This window comes from Homo sapiens, chromosome 2 (genome assembly GCF_000001405.40).
Source record: "Homo sapiens chromosome 2, GRCh38.p14 Primary Assembly".
NCBI lineage: Eukaryota > Metazoa > Chordata > Mammalia > Primates > Hominidae > Homo > Homo sapiens.
The window spans coordinates 120,777,443-120,793,380 of NC_000002.12; the positions used below are offsets into that span (position 1 = coordinate 120,777,443).

Consider the following 15,938-nt stretch of genomic DNA (forward strand, 5'->3'; position numbering starts at 1 on the left):
CTTAGAGGGTGGGGGCCTGTGTGGATATGCTGACCTGACATGTGTGCCCACACAGCCTGGGGAGGAGCGCGGCAGGGAGGGGCGCGGCAGGCAGGTGCAGCAGCAGCTGGAGGAAAGCTTTGGGGGGTCTCTGCAGACATTGCCTCTGGGGGGCTACTTGTTTGGAGGGACAGTGATGAGTGGCCCAGGGTCTCTGCTGCCTGAGACTTGGCCATTGAGGACTTGCATCTGGGGTGTAGACTTGGGCCATTGGATCCCAGGCGGGGGTGCAGAGCCTAGTGTGGTCAGAGTGGGAGCACAGAAGCTTGGGGGGTCTCTGCAGACATTGCCTCTGGGGGGCTACTTGTTTGGAGGGACAGCGATGAGTGGCCCAGGGTCTCTGCTGCCTGAGACTTGGCCATTGAGGACTTGCATCTGGGGTGTAGACTTGGGCCATTGCACCCCAGGCTGGGGTGCAGAGCCCAGTGTGGTCAGAGTGGGAGCACGGAGACTCACTGGGGGTACAGAAGTTGCTGGGAGGCCATGGGGGGCAGGCAGCCCCCACCCGGCTAGGCCCAGCTGTGTTGGTGGCATCAAACACGGGGTTGGCAGCGTGCAGCTGGCTCAGCATGGTTGTGATGGGGCAGGGCTTGTTTTTGTTTGGAGGAGGGAAGGTGGCCCAGTACCCACTGTAAACAGAGCTGCTGCCACCTAACTGATGAGTTGTGCTGCTGAAGCCTTGTAGCCCCCACAGATGATGGCCAAGAAAGTGGGGTCTGACAGGGCTGTCCTGGCCTCCTCGCTCCCGATTCTCCTCCCTATGTTGTGAGATGCCCAATTATTTGGCAGCCCTGGGCTTCCTGGCCCACTCCTCCTCCTCTTCCTTTGTATCTCAGAACTCGACGTTAGCTCCTCACAGCGTCCCTCCTTTCCTGTGACTCAGAGTGCTCCCATCGTCGCTCCTGATTCAGTCCCTGCAGCTCCTGCCATCACCCACACACAGCCAGAGAAAACAATTAGGGGGCACGGTGGGTTACCTGCCGGGTTCCTAGGGCAGGTGATGTGGCGCAGGACTGTGTGGCGGGGCGTGTGAACGGTGAGGGCAGGTGCTGTGCCTGAGTTCTGGGGCATCTGAGTGGCAGGCAGGCAGAGCTTCAGATTCCACATGTGGCTGGTGGGGTGAGACGGGGTGAAGTCACCCTAGGACCTGTCTAGCTGTCTGTGCCCAGGGGGTATACAGCAGGCTGGGGGCCAGTCCAGGTAGGCAGGGCACAGAGACCTTCCACATGGCCAGGTAAGTGCTGGATGGAGAACCTGGCACACCCATGGCCTCTGGCCTGCTTGTCTTGCTCCTGAAGCTGCGACAGGGAAGCCACCAGGTTGGCTTGCAAATACAAGAGGCTTTGTAAAATATGCTTCCGGCTTTGCCAGTGGAAGTGCTGGGTTGAACCAGAGGAAGGTGTAACCCTGGGTTGATTTGGTCACTTGGGCCACCAGGCTTGCCCGGCAAATGGGATTGGGGATGCTTCAGGGGAAATTGGACAGGGGAAAATTTGGGTTAAGAGGCCCCATCATGGCTGACTCAGGAGCCAGGCTCTCAGGGAAGCACAAAGAAGGAAGAGCATAAACTTCCCCTCCCTATATACCCACACCCTTCCCATGTAAAGTAAAAACCAAGGTAATATCCGCTGTGCACTGTCATGAGCCCGCACTGCCCAGAGTACTTACACGCATCAGCTCATGTGAAACATTTACAGACAGACTATCATCCTTCCATTTTACAGATCAGGAAACTGTGGCTCAGGAGGCTTGAGCTGTTTTTTCAAGGTCCCATCTGGAAAGGCCAGCAGGTCCCATTGCCTCCTAAGACAGGCTGTGACATTTGAAATCCTGCTGACGAAGGATCTTACACCAGGGTGTGTGTGAGCCCCTGGCCAGTGCTGGGCAGTAGGGCCAGGACCTCCTGCAGTTCGTTCCTGGCCTAACAGGCAACTGAGGACAGGCTTGCAAGGTGCAGGTGTTGAGCATGGTGGTGCATGACGGCAAAGGTGCCACAGAGTGCACACACCTGACTTGGAGAAGGAACTAGGGTGGGTCTGCCGGTAACATGGCCCAAGAGTTGGGAGCCATTGCCCAGAGGGTTTGGTCCTAATCCCTGCCCAGCAAGAGGATTTAGACTCTTGTGGTTCAGTCATAATAATGGTTGACATTTACTGAGGGCTTTCTCTGTGCTAGGCATGCCATGTCCATTATCTATTCACAGGGAGGAAACTGAGGCACAGAAAAGTTAATTACCTTGCCCAAGGGCACACAGTAGGTTAAGACAGGGCCGGGGTCAGACACTAGGGCGGCCTGACCCCCTCAGCCTTGCTCCTAACCACTCCGCCATCCTGCCTCCCCGGGCCAGGACTGGCAGCCTCGGGCTCTGTTCTCCTTCCCAGCCCGGGAGAGTGCAGGTCTGAGCTGTGGCAGCTTAGAGAGTGTATACGTGTGTGAGTGTGTGTTTGTGTGTGCGTATGTGTCACGGGTGTGTTTGTGTTTAGGCAAATGGGGAAAGAAAACAACACCCGCATTCTTTTTCAGCCCCGTAGACATCACTGCATGGTGAAGGAATGTGGATTCAGTGCAGCAGGTTGTGTTTCTTTTTTTTTTTTCTTCATGGCACATAAATACCTTTGGGTTTCTCGGTTCTCAGAAAGGCATCTATTACTCAGGTCTTACTTAGCAGTTATCACTGAAGAGGGAAGCCTGGAGTGAGCATGTGGGCGGGCGTGCCACACACACTCATAACGCCCCCTTCAGCTGGAAGGCAGACTCCTTTTGAATCCAGATGAGCAGATGTCTTGAGACCAAGAAGATCCACTTGCCGAGCTCCAGCTGGGGGCTGAGAGCTCGCCCTGTCCTGGGAGCAGGCATCTTCCCCTCTTTCTTGCAGAGAAGCAGAGACCACCATCCCCACTGAAATATAGGGACCCTTGCCCAGTGTGAAAGGAGGAAGGGAGGAAGACAGGGAGGGAAGGAGGAAGGAAGGAGAGAGAGAAGCTCAGCACAGCTCCAGGCAGAACCTGTGGGAGTTTTTCCAGCAGCGTGGGGTGTGTCGTTTGCTCCCCTTCCCAGCAGGAGGAGGGAGTTTCCAGCAGGCAGAGTGGTGTGGGATGAGGGACATGGCTGGTGGGGAGGCCTCTGGCCCCATGGCGGGTGTCCTATTCAATAGATGGTATCACTGTCCACTACACTACAGACACAGCAGCTGCAGCCTGGAGACGTTAAGCCTGCCACCCGGGTTCCCAGCTGGTAAGTGGCAGAGCCAGTCCTGGGTCGTTTCCAGCCTGGAACTCTGGAGCTTGCCAGTCTGATGCACGTTTATTGGAGATGTGGTTCTCTCCTCTCCCAGCGATGTCCTGTGAAGGCTCTTTGGAGGCTTTCTGTCGTATTTCTGAGCTGTGTTACAGCTTCTGGACACCAGTGAGGTGACCCCACCCCACCTCTGTCCATGAACGTCAGGGTCATAGTCGTGGCAGCCCCAGCTGCCCTGGGGCTGTGAGCTGGCTCACCCCTCTGTCCTGAGCATCCGAGCCCTGAGGCTTCATCGTGTCAGCTCCCATATCTCTTCCACTCTGCATGGGCCCTGGGCATAAACCTTTCTTTCACCTTGCTCCATAGTCTATAAAAGGAGACACAAGCTGTCCCTGCTTCTGGGCCTGGTGGGAGGCTGAGATGAGAGAATAGGAGCCATGCCCCTGGCCTGCAGTTGCTGCCTGGCCTGGCCTGGTCCTGCTGCACCCTCACTGCCCAGCACTGAGGGCCAGTCCTTTGAGTGCGGGGGGATGAGGAGAAATGGCCTCTGATAGGGTGGTGGTCATAACTCCCAGGAAGAATGAGGCTGGGGCTTAGGGGCCAAACCCAGGGGCCAAAACCAGGTGGGCAGAGGCAGATTCTCCTCCCTTGCCCTGCCGGGGTCAGAGCAGCAGCCCCCTCTTCCCATTCTGAGGCCCGGGATGCTCCCCCTGGGACTGGCGGAGCACACAGTCAACTTCTGAGATTTTTCCTACCCTCTTTCGCTTCGGGTCAGGAGTCAGGCTCGATTTATAGTTTCTCCTAATATTTTCTCTGTATTTATTAATAAGTAGCATTTTAATGGAAAAAGCAGAATGATGTTTTACATTAAAGAACATTACCGGCCAGGTGCGGTGGCTTACGCCTGTAATCCCAGCACTTTGGGAGGCCGAGGCGGGTGGATCACCTGAGGTCAGGAGTTTGAGACCAGCCTGGCCAACATGGGGAAACCCCGTCTCTACTAAAAATACAAAAATTAGCTGAGTGTGGTGGTGCACACCTGTAGTCCTGGCTACTCGGGAGGCTGAGGCAGGAGAATGGCTTGAACCTGGGAGGCAGAGGTTGTAGTGAGCTGAGATTATACCACTGTACTCCAGCCTGGTGACAGAGTGAGACTCCATCTCAAAAAAAAAAAAAGAACATTACCAAAAATCCCAGCATAACTCAAAATCCCATTATTCAAACACAAATTTTTTTCTTATATACTGTCTCCCTTGTACAGATAGTTCATTTTCCTAGTTGCAGTTATAGTGTGTATGCAATTTTGTTTTATTTTCACTTACGTGTGATCTTAAACATTTCTGTATTTCTCTAAGTCTTTACAATAATAACCTAAAATAGGCACAGTACTGTCCCGTTGTCTCGCTACGATAGCAATTTATTAAGAACTATTTCCCTCCCGTTAAACATGTGGGGTGTTGTCAGGGTTTAATGGGTGTACTTAACCCTGTAGTGAACATCTTACATGTTTCTTCTTACCTGTGACAGTGTCATTGAGGCAGGCCAGGGACTTAGCAGGTGTTTTATGGCAGGTGGTAGACTTCCTTCAGGGATAGCTGGAGTTCTGCTCTTCAGTGTGTTTTAAAACCAGAAACCCCTGAGCAGGCCTTCTTTGGTTTAAGTGCCTTCTGTGTGTGGGGTGCAGTACTAGATGTTTTTTTGCCATGAACTCATTCATAGTAATCCTGGAGCATCAAATTGTTAGCTCCATTTTCCATGACAAGATAACTGAGGTGTGGCGAAGCTGAGTCAGTTGCCCACAGTTTGCAGCAAGAGGCTGACCCAGGCTTCAGATGCAGTATGCACCACTGCCTCTTTACAGCTTAAGGTGGTGAGACCTCCATCCCTGGGAGGATATTCACTCAGAGCCTGGATGACAGTGCCTAGAATACTCTGGGTGAGGGTTTCTCAACTTTGGCATCATGGACATTCTGGTTGCATAATTCTCTGTTGTGGGAACTGTCCTGGTCACTACAGGATATCTACCAGCATCCCTGGTCTCAACCCACTGGCCACCGCTGGCGCAATTTGGAGACAGTCAAAAATGTCTCCAGATATTGCCAAATGTCCCTTGGTGGCAAATTCACTCCCGGTTGAGAACTGCTGCTGTAGAGGATTCCTGAGTAGAACAGGAGGTTGACTGCAGGCTCTCTTACAATCCCTGGGACCTCCATGAGGCTCCCCTACCTGGTGGGCTCCCTTGGCAGACTGTCCCCATCAGTGGGCCATTGATTGGAAAGACTTGTTGGGGAGGCCATCGAAAGGAGAGGGGGAAGGAGCAAGCAGCACACTGCAAAGAGTCATGGGATGCAGGCTCAGGAGAAAGCCTGGAGCACCTCTTCCATGCTCAGACCCAAATTTGGGGCACACAGCTTTACAATAATCAGCTCTGGGGCAGGGGAACTGGCTCCCAGTAATGACCTTGCCTAGCAGCCTCATGACCAAGAGACACCTAAACCTGTGACCTCCTCTGCAGCTTCCTGCCGTCTTGGAGGGCTCTCTAGGAAGTCTCATGTGGCACCCTGGCTTCCCATATGGGCTGGGGACATCCTTGAGTATCTTTCCAGGGACAGTCCTGGCCAAGGAACCCAGAGCCAAGCCCACCTGTGGCACCTGGTCTCACAAAGCCAGGCCACAGTGGGGGCTGGCAGGGAGACCATGATTGGATTTGCAGGCTCCGTGTAGACTGGGCTTTAAAGAGCGTTCTCATTTCCTCTCCGGAAGCCTTCAAAAGGCCACGGGAACAAAAGAGGCTTGATTGATTGTGTCTTGGAGAGAGTCATCGAAAGGAGAGGGGGAAGAGCAAGCAGCACACGGCAAAGGCACTTAATTCTGCACACAGTGTCATGCCAAGAAACCACGAAGTGCAGGAACAAGCAGGAGACATTTTCCTTTTATCAGTAGGGTGTGTCCTTAGCGGTAACAGCCAGGGACAGCTGGCAGCACAGAGTTTTTGGCACCTTGCTTTCCTCCTCCTCCTCCCTCCATCCCTCTCCATACTATCCACGTTGATTTAAGAGAAGGGAACTTTTTATATGAAAACCACTTAAAGTCTGATCTTATTCCAGGGCAGTTTGCATTTCAATCGGTTGCTCTTGAAAACTAGCAAGCTTCAAAGAAGTGACTGTCCAGTGGTAGAATTTCAGGTGGGGAGTCAGAGTGATTTTTGTTTAGCCAATGAGATCTGACTGGCACCTTCCAAGATACCAGCGACGAGCTAGGCTGCGGCTTCGGCTTCGTGTGAGGCTCTCTGGGGTCAGTTAAACATCCCGTTACCAGCTGTCTACTGGGTGGCAGCCACTGGGGGACATGGTGTGCGGGGGCAATCCAGGAGACAGCTGACTTTAGAACACTGGGTTCACTCTGATGGCCCTCACTCATGGCATGCTTACTGGATGCCAACTGTGTGCCAGGGGCCTGGGAATGAAAGTCAAATATCTGAGCCATCCAGTGGAACAGGCAGTGAAGCACACTGTAGAAGCTTCACCCAGTGCTGTGCTGTGGGTCTCCCAGGCTAATAAGGGGCCATGTGGGAGCACCAGGCCCTTGCCTGGGGCAGGAGGGCTGGGACACGTGTGCTGGGTGGAAGAGATCCCAGCCTTAGCTCTTAGGAGTTCATCAGACAGGTGTTTTTTGAAGGGGAAGGGCATGAATGCAAAGGCCTGACAGGCAGTGTCTGGGGGTTGCAGGCTTCTAGAAATAACATAAAGGGCGAGTCCTGAGTTGGTGGCAAGTGAGGCTGAGGGGGCAGGGAGGGCACAGGCCTTGGGGGTTTTGGGGGCCCAGATAAGGAGTTTGAATGTCATTCTGCAGACAGTGGGGAGTCCCGAGGGGTAAGCACACCCTTCCAGTCTGCCGGACACTTGACTTCCAGGACTCAGAGCTACAGGCTTCCATGCTTGCCCTGCCTCCTGCTCGCCCCCCAGACACAGCCTCCATCTGCTGTGGTCCTCTCTGCTTTAGCAGGCCTTTCTGGACCGGAACTGTTCTTCCTTTGAAAATGCTCACTCATCCCTGCCTCCAGGAAACCTTCCTTGACTCCCTCAGGTTAGCAAGACTGGTAGCCCCCCAGAGCTTATCCCTGCTAGGAGGCTTATTCTGGGTTGGCACGGCCTGTTTCCTCTGATGCCGGTCTCCCCACCCCACACCTGGACTGGAAGCTCTGGGGCGGTAGTACTGTGTTTCCCTCACTTCTGTGGTCAAGGATGGAGACTCAAGATTGGCACACAGTAGGCCCTCAGGAAACCTGTGCCACCCAAATAAAGAACGTCGAGCTTGTCTCAAGTCACGGAGCTGGTCAAACCCTCCTGGCCTCCTTGAGCCGGCGCATGTCCAGGCTGCAGCAGACCACATTATTGGATCCGGGTCCCAGACACCTGGCCTGGGCTGCGATGAGGTGGCTGCCAGGAGGGAGGGAGGGTGGCTGAGGGCATGTGGCCTCCTGGGCATGCAGAGGAAGGCCAGGGCCTGGGAGAGACTGGACCAGGCAGGAGCGAGGCTTATCCAGGGCCGGCTTAGCACGTGAGCTACCTCCTACCTCATCATGAAGATCCCAGCTGAAGGCAGGGCACTCCTGTTGGCTTCATTGCAAGGAAAAAGTGGTGTTCTACTGGCCAGGGTGGTGCTGGCTGTTGGTTGCTGGCAGACTTGGAGGAAAGCCGGTGGCTGAGGCTGGCAGAGGCACAGACAGAAGGGCTGGGTGCAGGCATCACCTGGGAGGTGTGGGGAGGGCTGCAGCTGGGCAAGTTGGAGCAGGAGACCAAACCAGGAGATGCCAGGGCCACACACCAGCCCGGTTCTCCCTGGAGCCTCGAGAAGCAGAGCTACCACCCTGGATCTGCAGTCAGCACTCCCACCCCTGCCCTGCCCCTGCCCCAAGCCCAGCACCACCCATGGAGAGGGTGACCTCAGGCCTTGGAGATTGCTGGCTCGTGGCTGCAGGTGGCTTGGATCCATGCACTTGGATCCTGGTATGCTCCCCTCACATGTCAAAATTCCTGTCTCCATCCAATCATGGCATAACACTGTACTCCCTGGGGGTCCAGCCTGCCTATCTCACACCCAGAGTTGCACTGCCAGTCTGGGCTGGGATAGCGATGTGGTTAACTGCAACCAACTGCTGTGGTTATAAACCAGGTAAGGGGCCCAGTGACAGCCCCGCTGCATCATTGGCAAAGGACTGCTTGGGGGCTGAGCTGCCCGGGGGCTGGATGAGATGACCCCTGGAGGCCTTTCTGGGTGCCAGACTCTGTCATAAGAGGGAGAAGACAGAGGGGTTAGAAACACGTGGTCTGGGCTTGGGGTGGCTCCTGGCAAGGCAGCCTCACAATCCCAGGATCCGTAAGAGGACAAACTCAGAGGAATCAAAACGCAGCTCTCCCCACCACCCTGGACGGGTCTCAGCGAGTGTCAGAGCCCATCGCCAGGTTCTGAGGAGCAGTGTGATGGGCCAATGGGAGGCTCCTCTCCCTGTAGCTTGCCCAGAGTCCTGCCAACCAGACAGGGTCCCAGGTCAGCCCAGCTCCTTTCTCAAGACTTTGAGACTTGGTGTCGGTTGGATCACATTGTTTGAAGAGGTGAGATTTGTCCTTGATCTGCAGACATCTCCCACCACCGCCATCATCCCTGCTGTTTGGGTCCTAATTGGAAGAGCCTGGAAAGGCCACCTGCACCATTCCCCTGACCCCAAAATACCACCCCCACCCTCCAACCCCCCGCCCAACCTGCAATTCCACTGAGAAAATAGCTCTTTTGAGTGTGTCAGTGCTCAAAAAGCGCTTTTAAGAGATAAACACTTTTTTATTCATCTTGAAAATGGTTGTGCTTAGAGCTCAGCAGGTACCCAGTTAATATGTATAGGCTTCAGTGCTAAGTACTATGCATGGCAAATCTTTTGCTCTCAAGGGGTTTACAATGTAAGGGAAGGAAGGCATTCTTATGCAGTGCTGGCAAACACTGCCCATGGCAGACAGTACAAGTTGACTAGTGTGCCTCCTGCAGCAGACATTAGAAGTCGATTACTGCACTTTTCCTGACCTAAGAGATAGCCTGATGCCTTCTCCAACCCAGCCCTCCCTTAAAGGTGCCTGTGGGTCTCAGGGTCTAGAAGCTGCTCACCACGTGGACTTTGTGGGGCATTGAAGCCTGAGGGGATGCTCGGAGAAGAAGAGGATTCTTGAAGACTTGAGTGCCTGAGAGCATTTATGTGTTCAGTTCGTCTCTGAGTCAGTCAACAAACATTGATGGTGTCTGTGTCGAGGGTGGCCATAAAGGGACACGGACACGTAAACATGTAGTTAAAACACAATGAGATAGGAGCCTTGACCTTGGCAGGCACACAGGCAAGACAGACCCCTGCCTGGCCTGGCAGGGGGTGGTCCCAGGGAGGCTTCTCTGAGGGGGTGTCATAGTGGGTATTGGGGAACTAGCATTCCAGGCAGAGGAACCGCGTGATCAGAGTCACAGACAGCATGACTGCGGTGGAATGGGGGTGGGGCAGGGAACCTGGGGGTGCAGATCCTGAGGCAGGGCCTTGGGGCCATGACAGCGACTTGGACCTTGTCCTGTGCGCACTCACTGCCTTCATGGTCCTTCGTCCCCTCTCAGAGTCTCCTGCAAGGATTTTCCACCCTCAGTGGCCCTTGGTCCTTGCCCCCACCCCCAACTCCCTGCCTTCTCAGTCTTGGATTAAGGGGGCCTTGGCATGGGTCTGGGTGCCTGTGGCTCCCGTGTGCCAGGCTACTGGGGTCTGTTTCTGATGTCTGCTGCCACCCTGGGCCCCTGAGAGGCCTTCACCCCAGCCCTCAGCCTGCCCGGGGCAGTGTGATTTTCCCTCCTCAGGGCAGAGGCCAGCCTTGTTTTTCCTCCACACTCAGGAATCGCGCTTCAGGAATACACAAAGCAGCTGTTAAAATATCTGGGTCTGGCGGGCCGGCCACACAGTGGGCCCCTTGTTCCCCTTGCAGACAGCGGCCTCAGAGCACGTCCCAACCCTCTGCTGGGTCAGCGGTGCTGGGGGAGTGGTGTCAGGGAGAGACCCTGGACCTCTAGGCTTCAGGGCTCTCCAGGGAGGAAGGTGATGGACAATAGGAATTTAGAACCGAGTGGAACAAGCACATTACAAACAGATGCCAACCCGAGAGTTTAGATGTCAGACTGTAGAGGCGCTGGCACCAGGGTGGGTGGAGGAGGATGCCTGGATGGGACTGTCGTGTCAATTCTTGGACAGAGCCTTCTGTTGGTGGGGCAGCCTCCAGGCACTGCTCAGGGGCAGGCCTTCTCCAGCTGCAGGGATGATAAGGCCAGGCCTGTGTGTGCCAGGCCCCATGTGAGACATTCTGTTTATCCCCACTTAACAGATGAGGAAACTGAGGCTTAGGGAGAAGTTGATTCTTGTCGACAGTTCCTGACAGAGCTGGGAGGTGAACATGGCCATTCCTTCTCCAGAGTCTGCACTCACTGGCCTCCAGCTGAATGTGACAACCACTGACGTGTGCACAGGTGGTGTCAAAGTTCAGTCACAGCACAAAGAGGTTGGTGAGCTCTGTCTAGGACTCTGGGAAGGAGGGTGTGAGAGCAAGCTTTCTGGATTTTAAAGCATGGCATCCTCGGTAGAGCAGAGGGAAGAATGTTCCTGGCAGGAAGGCATGGGGATTGGAGAGGGCCTGCTGGCTTTCAGGGAGTAAATCCCAGTGGAAACAAACGAAGTCTTGAGGCCGTCTCAAATGTCAACCTCAAAGTAGGTCTTACCCACAGCTTCCCAGAGGGAAAAAGTCCTCCTGATACTCATCAACTCTTATCGGAGGCTGGCTGCCCCTGGAGGGGCCTGCATTTCCCATTGGGGCCCTCCCTGGCCCCTGTTCCAGCCCAGCAAGTCAGTGAATTAGGGTTAATTATCTGTTTTCCTGGACACCAGCAGGCCCAGGAGCTGGGCAAATTAGGGGAGCTTTTGTACTTGGAAAAACAAATTCAAGGAGCGATAAAGAAGCAGGTGCACCTGCTAGGATGGGGATTTTGTATGGTGCCCACCCCTGGCCACACTGGGAGGGTGAGGGCTTTGGCCACCCCCTCAACTTGCAGGCCCCTGGGCTGCATCCCCTGAAAGAGGTGGGGACAGCAGGCACAGGCTGGCCAGGCTGTGCTGCAGAAGCGTGTCAGACACCCAGGGGCTGGAGGCCTTCCTAAACTTCAGTCTCCTCCTAGCCTGCCCTCCCCAGATACCCTGACAGCCCCTATGGTTCCCCTTCAATCTGGCTTATCACTTATTTCTTTCTTTCTTTTTTTTTTTTTTTTTGAGACGGAGTCTCACTCTGTCGCCAGGCTGGAGTGTAGCGACACGATCTCTGCTCACTGCAACCTCCACCTCCCAGGTTCATGTGATTCTCCTGCCTCAGCCTCCTCAGTAGCTGGGATTACAGGCGCCTGCCACCACACCTGGCTGATTTTTAGTAGAGACGGGGTTTCATCATGTTGGCCAGGCTGGTCTCAAGCTTCTGACCTCAGGTGATCCGCCCTCCTCAGCCTCCCAGAGTGCTGGGATTACAGGTGTGAGCCACCGCGCCCAGTCTCACCTACTTCTGTCTCCCTGTGGGAACGCTTTTTTTTTCTTGCCTTAGAGTGTGCCAAGGGCTTCTCCCTCCCTTTGCTCATGCAGTTCCCAGACCCTGGAGTGCTCTTCCCTTTGTGCTCTCCGGGCCAAGTTCAGGACCCTTTCATTCTCTGACTGGAAGCCACAGGGCAGACTGGATGGTCACCAGGAAGCCTCCTCTGACCTCCTCAGGTAGCCCGCCCTTGTGGAGCTCCCACAAGTAGAAACTCACTGCTGCTTATTTGACATTTAGCATATACTGCCTTGGACTTTGAAGCACTCTCTACACAAGTGCCTGCCTCACAACTCTTTACATGTGTGTCTATAGCTGTGCTTTTATACCTTTTGACACCCCTATAATAATTCTGGAGCCTGGCAGGCATCTGTGCATACAAAGGAGTTGGCCATGATGGAGAAAGTAGAAAACTAGAATCCAGCAGACATGCACTGGCCCACCAGCACTGCCGTATCTTAGCTGTGTGACTTCGGGGAGCTTACTTATCCTCTCTGGGCCTCTGATTTTAAGTGAAAGCAAGGTTCGAGATATTGGCCCAGTAGGAGTAGCTGCTGTGAATGGTGAAATTACTTGAGGAGAGGAGCTAGCCAGCTCGGGACACCTATGTGTGCTTGAAGGTTTTGTTGTCTTTCTCTAGTCATGGGGCTCCCGGTGCAGCGACACCCTAGGCAGAGGAGGGGGTCTAAGGAAGGACAGAGCAGTTCAAGAGGACCCTTCTTCCTCTGAGTCAACATGGGAACCATGGATCCCAGGGGATTTCGGAAGAGCGATTTCTTTTCTTCCAGATGTGTCTCCCTTCGTTGTCCTCACAGCCTACTGGGTACCAGGTGGGGTGGTGGGCCATGCACCAAATCCATAGAGAAACAGGGGGGTCTGTTGGGAGCAGTGGCTGTGCACTGGTGCCTCACATACATCGCCACCTTCAAGTTTCTGGATAATCTTGCTGGGGGTGCATCCCCCTCACTGTCTGTGGGAAGCCAAGGTCAAGGTTATGGAGCCTGAGGGGCATGGGGCTGACCCAGACACCATGGCCCTGCCTCCCCGCATCTGACCAGTCCAGGCATCATTTATAGGGTCTGGGCTCCCCTCCTGAGTTTGCCATCTCCCCAAAGGACCCAGAGTGGAGGCTGGGGGCTGTGGGAATCCCTGGCTGGAGTGGTGGAAGAGGGACCAGCGCAGGTAGGAGCTTGCGGTTCCCCTCCCAGTGTGGAATGGCTGGAAGAGGGGGAGTCAGGGACAAGGCCTTTGCACAGCTGCCCACCCGTCCACACTCTGGAAGACCCTTCACACCTTCCTGAGCTCTGCCTGGCCCCAGTCCTGGAGCTCCTTGTTGGTGCTGCTCTCTGGGGCTCTGCAGAGCTGTTATCCTGCTGGGCCCTAGTGAAGCCATGGCAGGCTTCGGTTTCATGTACAGTGATGGGAAGGTGGACAGAGAAGGCAGAAACTGGTGCTGCCTAGGCCTCAGACCCCACAGGCAGGTCTGAGGAGCTGGTGGAGTCCCTGACTGTCCCCCCAGGGCCCTGCAGGCAGGTGATCTTTTCTTGGAGAAGAAGAAAATGGGAGAAGCTGCCCATGTGGGGCAGCTGCTATAATAGGTGTTACGGGCCATGCTGGGAAGGCTGACTGTCTTCCCAGTACCCTGGGAGGGAGGGTACTCTGCATCACTGGGGAGCAAACTGAGGCTCCGAGAGGGGAAGTAACATGGCCACAGACACACAGTGGATGCAGACTATGCTGGTCCAGGCACACATGCATCTCTCATTGTGGGAGAATTCAATGCCTCATGTTTTAAAATAGGATTATTTTGCCGCTGGCAGTAAAATGCCAGAAGTCCTGGGGAACCCTTACGTTCCCCACGTCCCTATCTCCTTCAGGGTGGAGGAGTGAGTGTAAATTTGTCTGGATGGGACAGTGGGGACTGACCTGAGGAGTCAGAGCCCGCTTTGCTCCTAGGCTGCCAGCCTTGGCATTGTGGCACTGGACTGGTGTCCCTGAGGTCATTTTCCCAGTGGAGACAGTGGTGTGAGGGGAGAGGAAAGGACTGGTGCCCAGCTCCTGGTGGATACAAGACAGAGTCCTCAGGGCCTCAGGCCGTGAGTCGGCTGCTTCCCTTTTAGCTGTCATGAGGTTAGAATGACGATTTCCCTTAATCAGGGTGGCGGTGTGCTCTTCACTCTGGGAAATTTCACTTTTTATCTCATTGGATCTTAAAAATAAGTCTGTGATCAAGGCAGGGCACATGTTTATCTCTCATGTATGTGCATGTGTTTGCCTGGGTCTGTGTCCTTGTAATATATACATGTGCATGTGTGAGTGTTCATGTACCTCTGCATGTAACTACATGTATCCTGTATGTGTGCACGTGTGTGGCTGCATATGTGCTGTGAGTGTATGTGTGATGCAGGTGACCATGTGTGACTTTATATATGTGTGTGCCCATGCACACGTCTGTGACTTTAATGCGGTGTGCACGTGTGTGTGTGGCCTGCGTGCAGGTGTATGCATGTGTGTGGCTGTGTATATGGTTTGTCGGCGTATGTTCTGTGTGCTGTGTGAGTGTGTGAGCCTGCGTGTGTGTGTGCATCCATGTGTGCCTATGCGTGTGGGTCCTGGGCACGCATGCCGCACGACTGAGATCACAGCAGAGGTGAGAACACCGTGGCTCTGTGGTGGCTGTGACTGCTGAGAGGCGAGGCTTCATCTCTCTCCTGGAGATTGATTTTGCCTGGGGAACAATGCTCTAATTCCTGTGAGTCACTCGTTAGAGGAGTTCAAAGAAACCAGGTGGCGGGAGGGTGTCTGGGATTTCAGGTTTCAGGGTGATTCGCTCATTCTGCTCTGATTACTAATTTATTCTTCAAGCAAGTCCTTTAACTCAGAGTTCTTAACCTTTTCTGCGCCGTGGGCCCCTTGGCAAGCAAGTGAAGTTCGTGGACTCCTACAATAATGCTATAAATGCATAGAAGAAAAGACACAGGACTGTGAAAGAAAGTGATGATGCGATGTCTAAAACGTTCAAGGCACCGCATCTGTGATCAAGAATACATGTGCTGCTTTACCGACACATCAAAGAGCAAGGTCAGCCGTGGGGGCTAATGAATGGCTAGCATAAGTGGGACACCACGGTGGGCTTGGGCATAGCTGCGACTCATGCCAGTGGCAGCCTGAGGGAGACACCAACTTCAGCTCCAAACTAGCAAAGATAAAAATGTATCTTTTCATCAGGTTAGATAGTCCTGCTTTAACTGGAACTTGTAGATTATTTATTTATTTATTTATTTGAGACAGAGTCTCACTCTGTCTCCAAGCTGGAGTGCAGTGGCGCGGTCTTGCCTCACTGCAACCTCCACCTCCCAGGTCCAAGCGATTCCCCTGCCTCAGCTTCCCGAGTAGCTGGGACTACAGGTGCACGCCACCATGCCCAGCTAATTTTTTGTATTTTAATAGAGACGGCCTTTCATCATGTTGGTCAAGACGGTCTTCATCTCCTGACCTCATGATCCGCCTGCCTCGGCCTCCCAAAGTGCTGGGATTACAGGCATGAGCCACCACACCTGGCTGAACTTGTAGATTATTTGGAAGCCAGAAGGGACCTTATGAGCACCCCGTTCGGTTTTTCATATACCTGCTTCTGTATCAGAAAGACTTGTGCAACTAACAGAAATGCAGCTCTTCTTGCCACCCCCTGCCTAGACTTGGGGAATCACAATCTCCAGGGGAAGGCCCAGAAATGCTCCTGAAGCATCTTGCTGTCACCAGTGCCCCTGCTGAGGCCCCAGAGGGCAGGTGACCTGGGTGAACCTCCTAACGGACAGGGGGCTTCTCCGGGCCCTGGGTCCCGGGTGCCCGCTCCCACCCCCTTAGCAGAATTTTGGAGAGTGTGGCTGTGTTTCCTTCGTGGTTGTTTGGACAGCGGCAGAGCTGTGTGTTTTGAAGGTAAAGTGAGGAATTGACTCTTCTCCTTCCCTGTGGTAGGTGCTGTGACTCCCAGTCCCTCTTTTTCTGGAGCTCTGTGGAGCC

At 54.2% G+C, this 15,938-nt stretch overlaps 1 protein-coding gene across 5 annotated transcripts in view, besides 5 other annotated features; it reads left to right on the forward strand.

Moving 5' to 3' along the window:
- GLI2 (GLI family zinc finger 2) overlaps positions 1-15,938 on the forward strand; it is a 256,786-nt gene that overhangs the window by 41,575 nt on the left and 199,273 nt on the right. For 2 of the 5 annotated variants that reach the window (NM_005270.5, XM_047443947.1), the window contains exon 1: positions 14,839-14,996. The exons of the other annotated variants lie outside the window; for them this stretch is intronic. The gene's annotated coding sequence lies outside the window, so the exon portion shown is untranslated. Of the gene's footprint in view, positions 1-14,838; positions 14,997-15,938 lie in introns of those variants that run through there. 5 annotated transcript variants of the gene reach the window in all.
- Positions 5,879-6,800: an enhancer, noted in NCBI's record as "NANOG-H3K27ac-H3K4me1 hESC enhancer chr2:121540897-121541818 (GRCh37/hg19 assembly coordinates)". NCBI's record gives its function as "activates a minimal SCP1, AML or CMV promoter by ChIP-STARR-seq in primed H9 embryonic stem cells {active_cell/tissue: H9 hESC(primed)}" and the evidence as "EXISTENCE:reporter gene assay evidence [ECO:0000049][PMID:30033119]".
- Positions 8,331-8,625: a silencer, noted in NCBI's record as "tiled region #398; HepG2 Repressive non-DNase unmatched - State 20:ReprD, and K562 Repressive non-DNase unmatched - State 22:ReprW". NCBI's record gives its function as "represses a minimal TATA promoter and a strong SV40 promoter by Sharpr-MPRA in HepG2 and K562 cells {active_cell/tissue: HepG2 | K562}" and the evidence as "EXISTENCE:reporter gene assay evidence [ECO:0000049][PMID:27701403]".
- Positions 8,645-9,567: an enhancer, noted in NCBI's record as "OCT4-NANOG-H3K27ac-H3K4me1 hESC enhancer chr2:121543663-121544585 (GRCh37/hg19 assembly coordinates)". NCBI's record gives its function as "activates a minimal SCP1, AML or CMV promoter by ChIP-STARR-seq in naive and primed H9 embryonic stem cells {active_cell/tissue: H9 hESC(naive and primed)}" and the evidence as "EXISTENCE:reporter gene assay evidence [ECO:0000049][PMID:30033119]".
- Positions 10,490-11,412: an enhancer, noted in NCBI's record as "H3K27ac-H3K4me1 hESC enhancer chr2:121545508-121546430 (GRCh37/hg19 assembly coordinates)". NCBI's record gives its function as "activates a minimal SCP1, AML or CMV promoter by ChIP-STARR-seq in primed H9 embryonic stem cells {active_cell/tissue: H9 hESC(primed)}" and the evidence as "EXISTENCE:reporter gene assay evidence [ECO:0000049][PMID:30033119]".
- Positions 12,603-13,234: an enhancer, noted in NCBI's record as "H3K27ac-H3K4me1 hESC enhancer chr2:121547621-121548252 (GRCh37/hg19 assembly coordinates)". NCBI's record gives its function as "activates a minimal SCP1, AML or CMV promoter by ChIP-STARR-seq in primed H9 embryonic stem cells {active_cell/tissue: H9 hESC(primed)}" and the evidence as "EXISTENCE:reporter gene assay evidence [ECO:0000049][PMID:30033119]".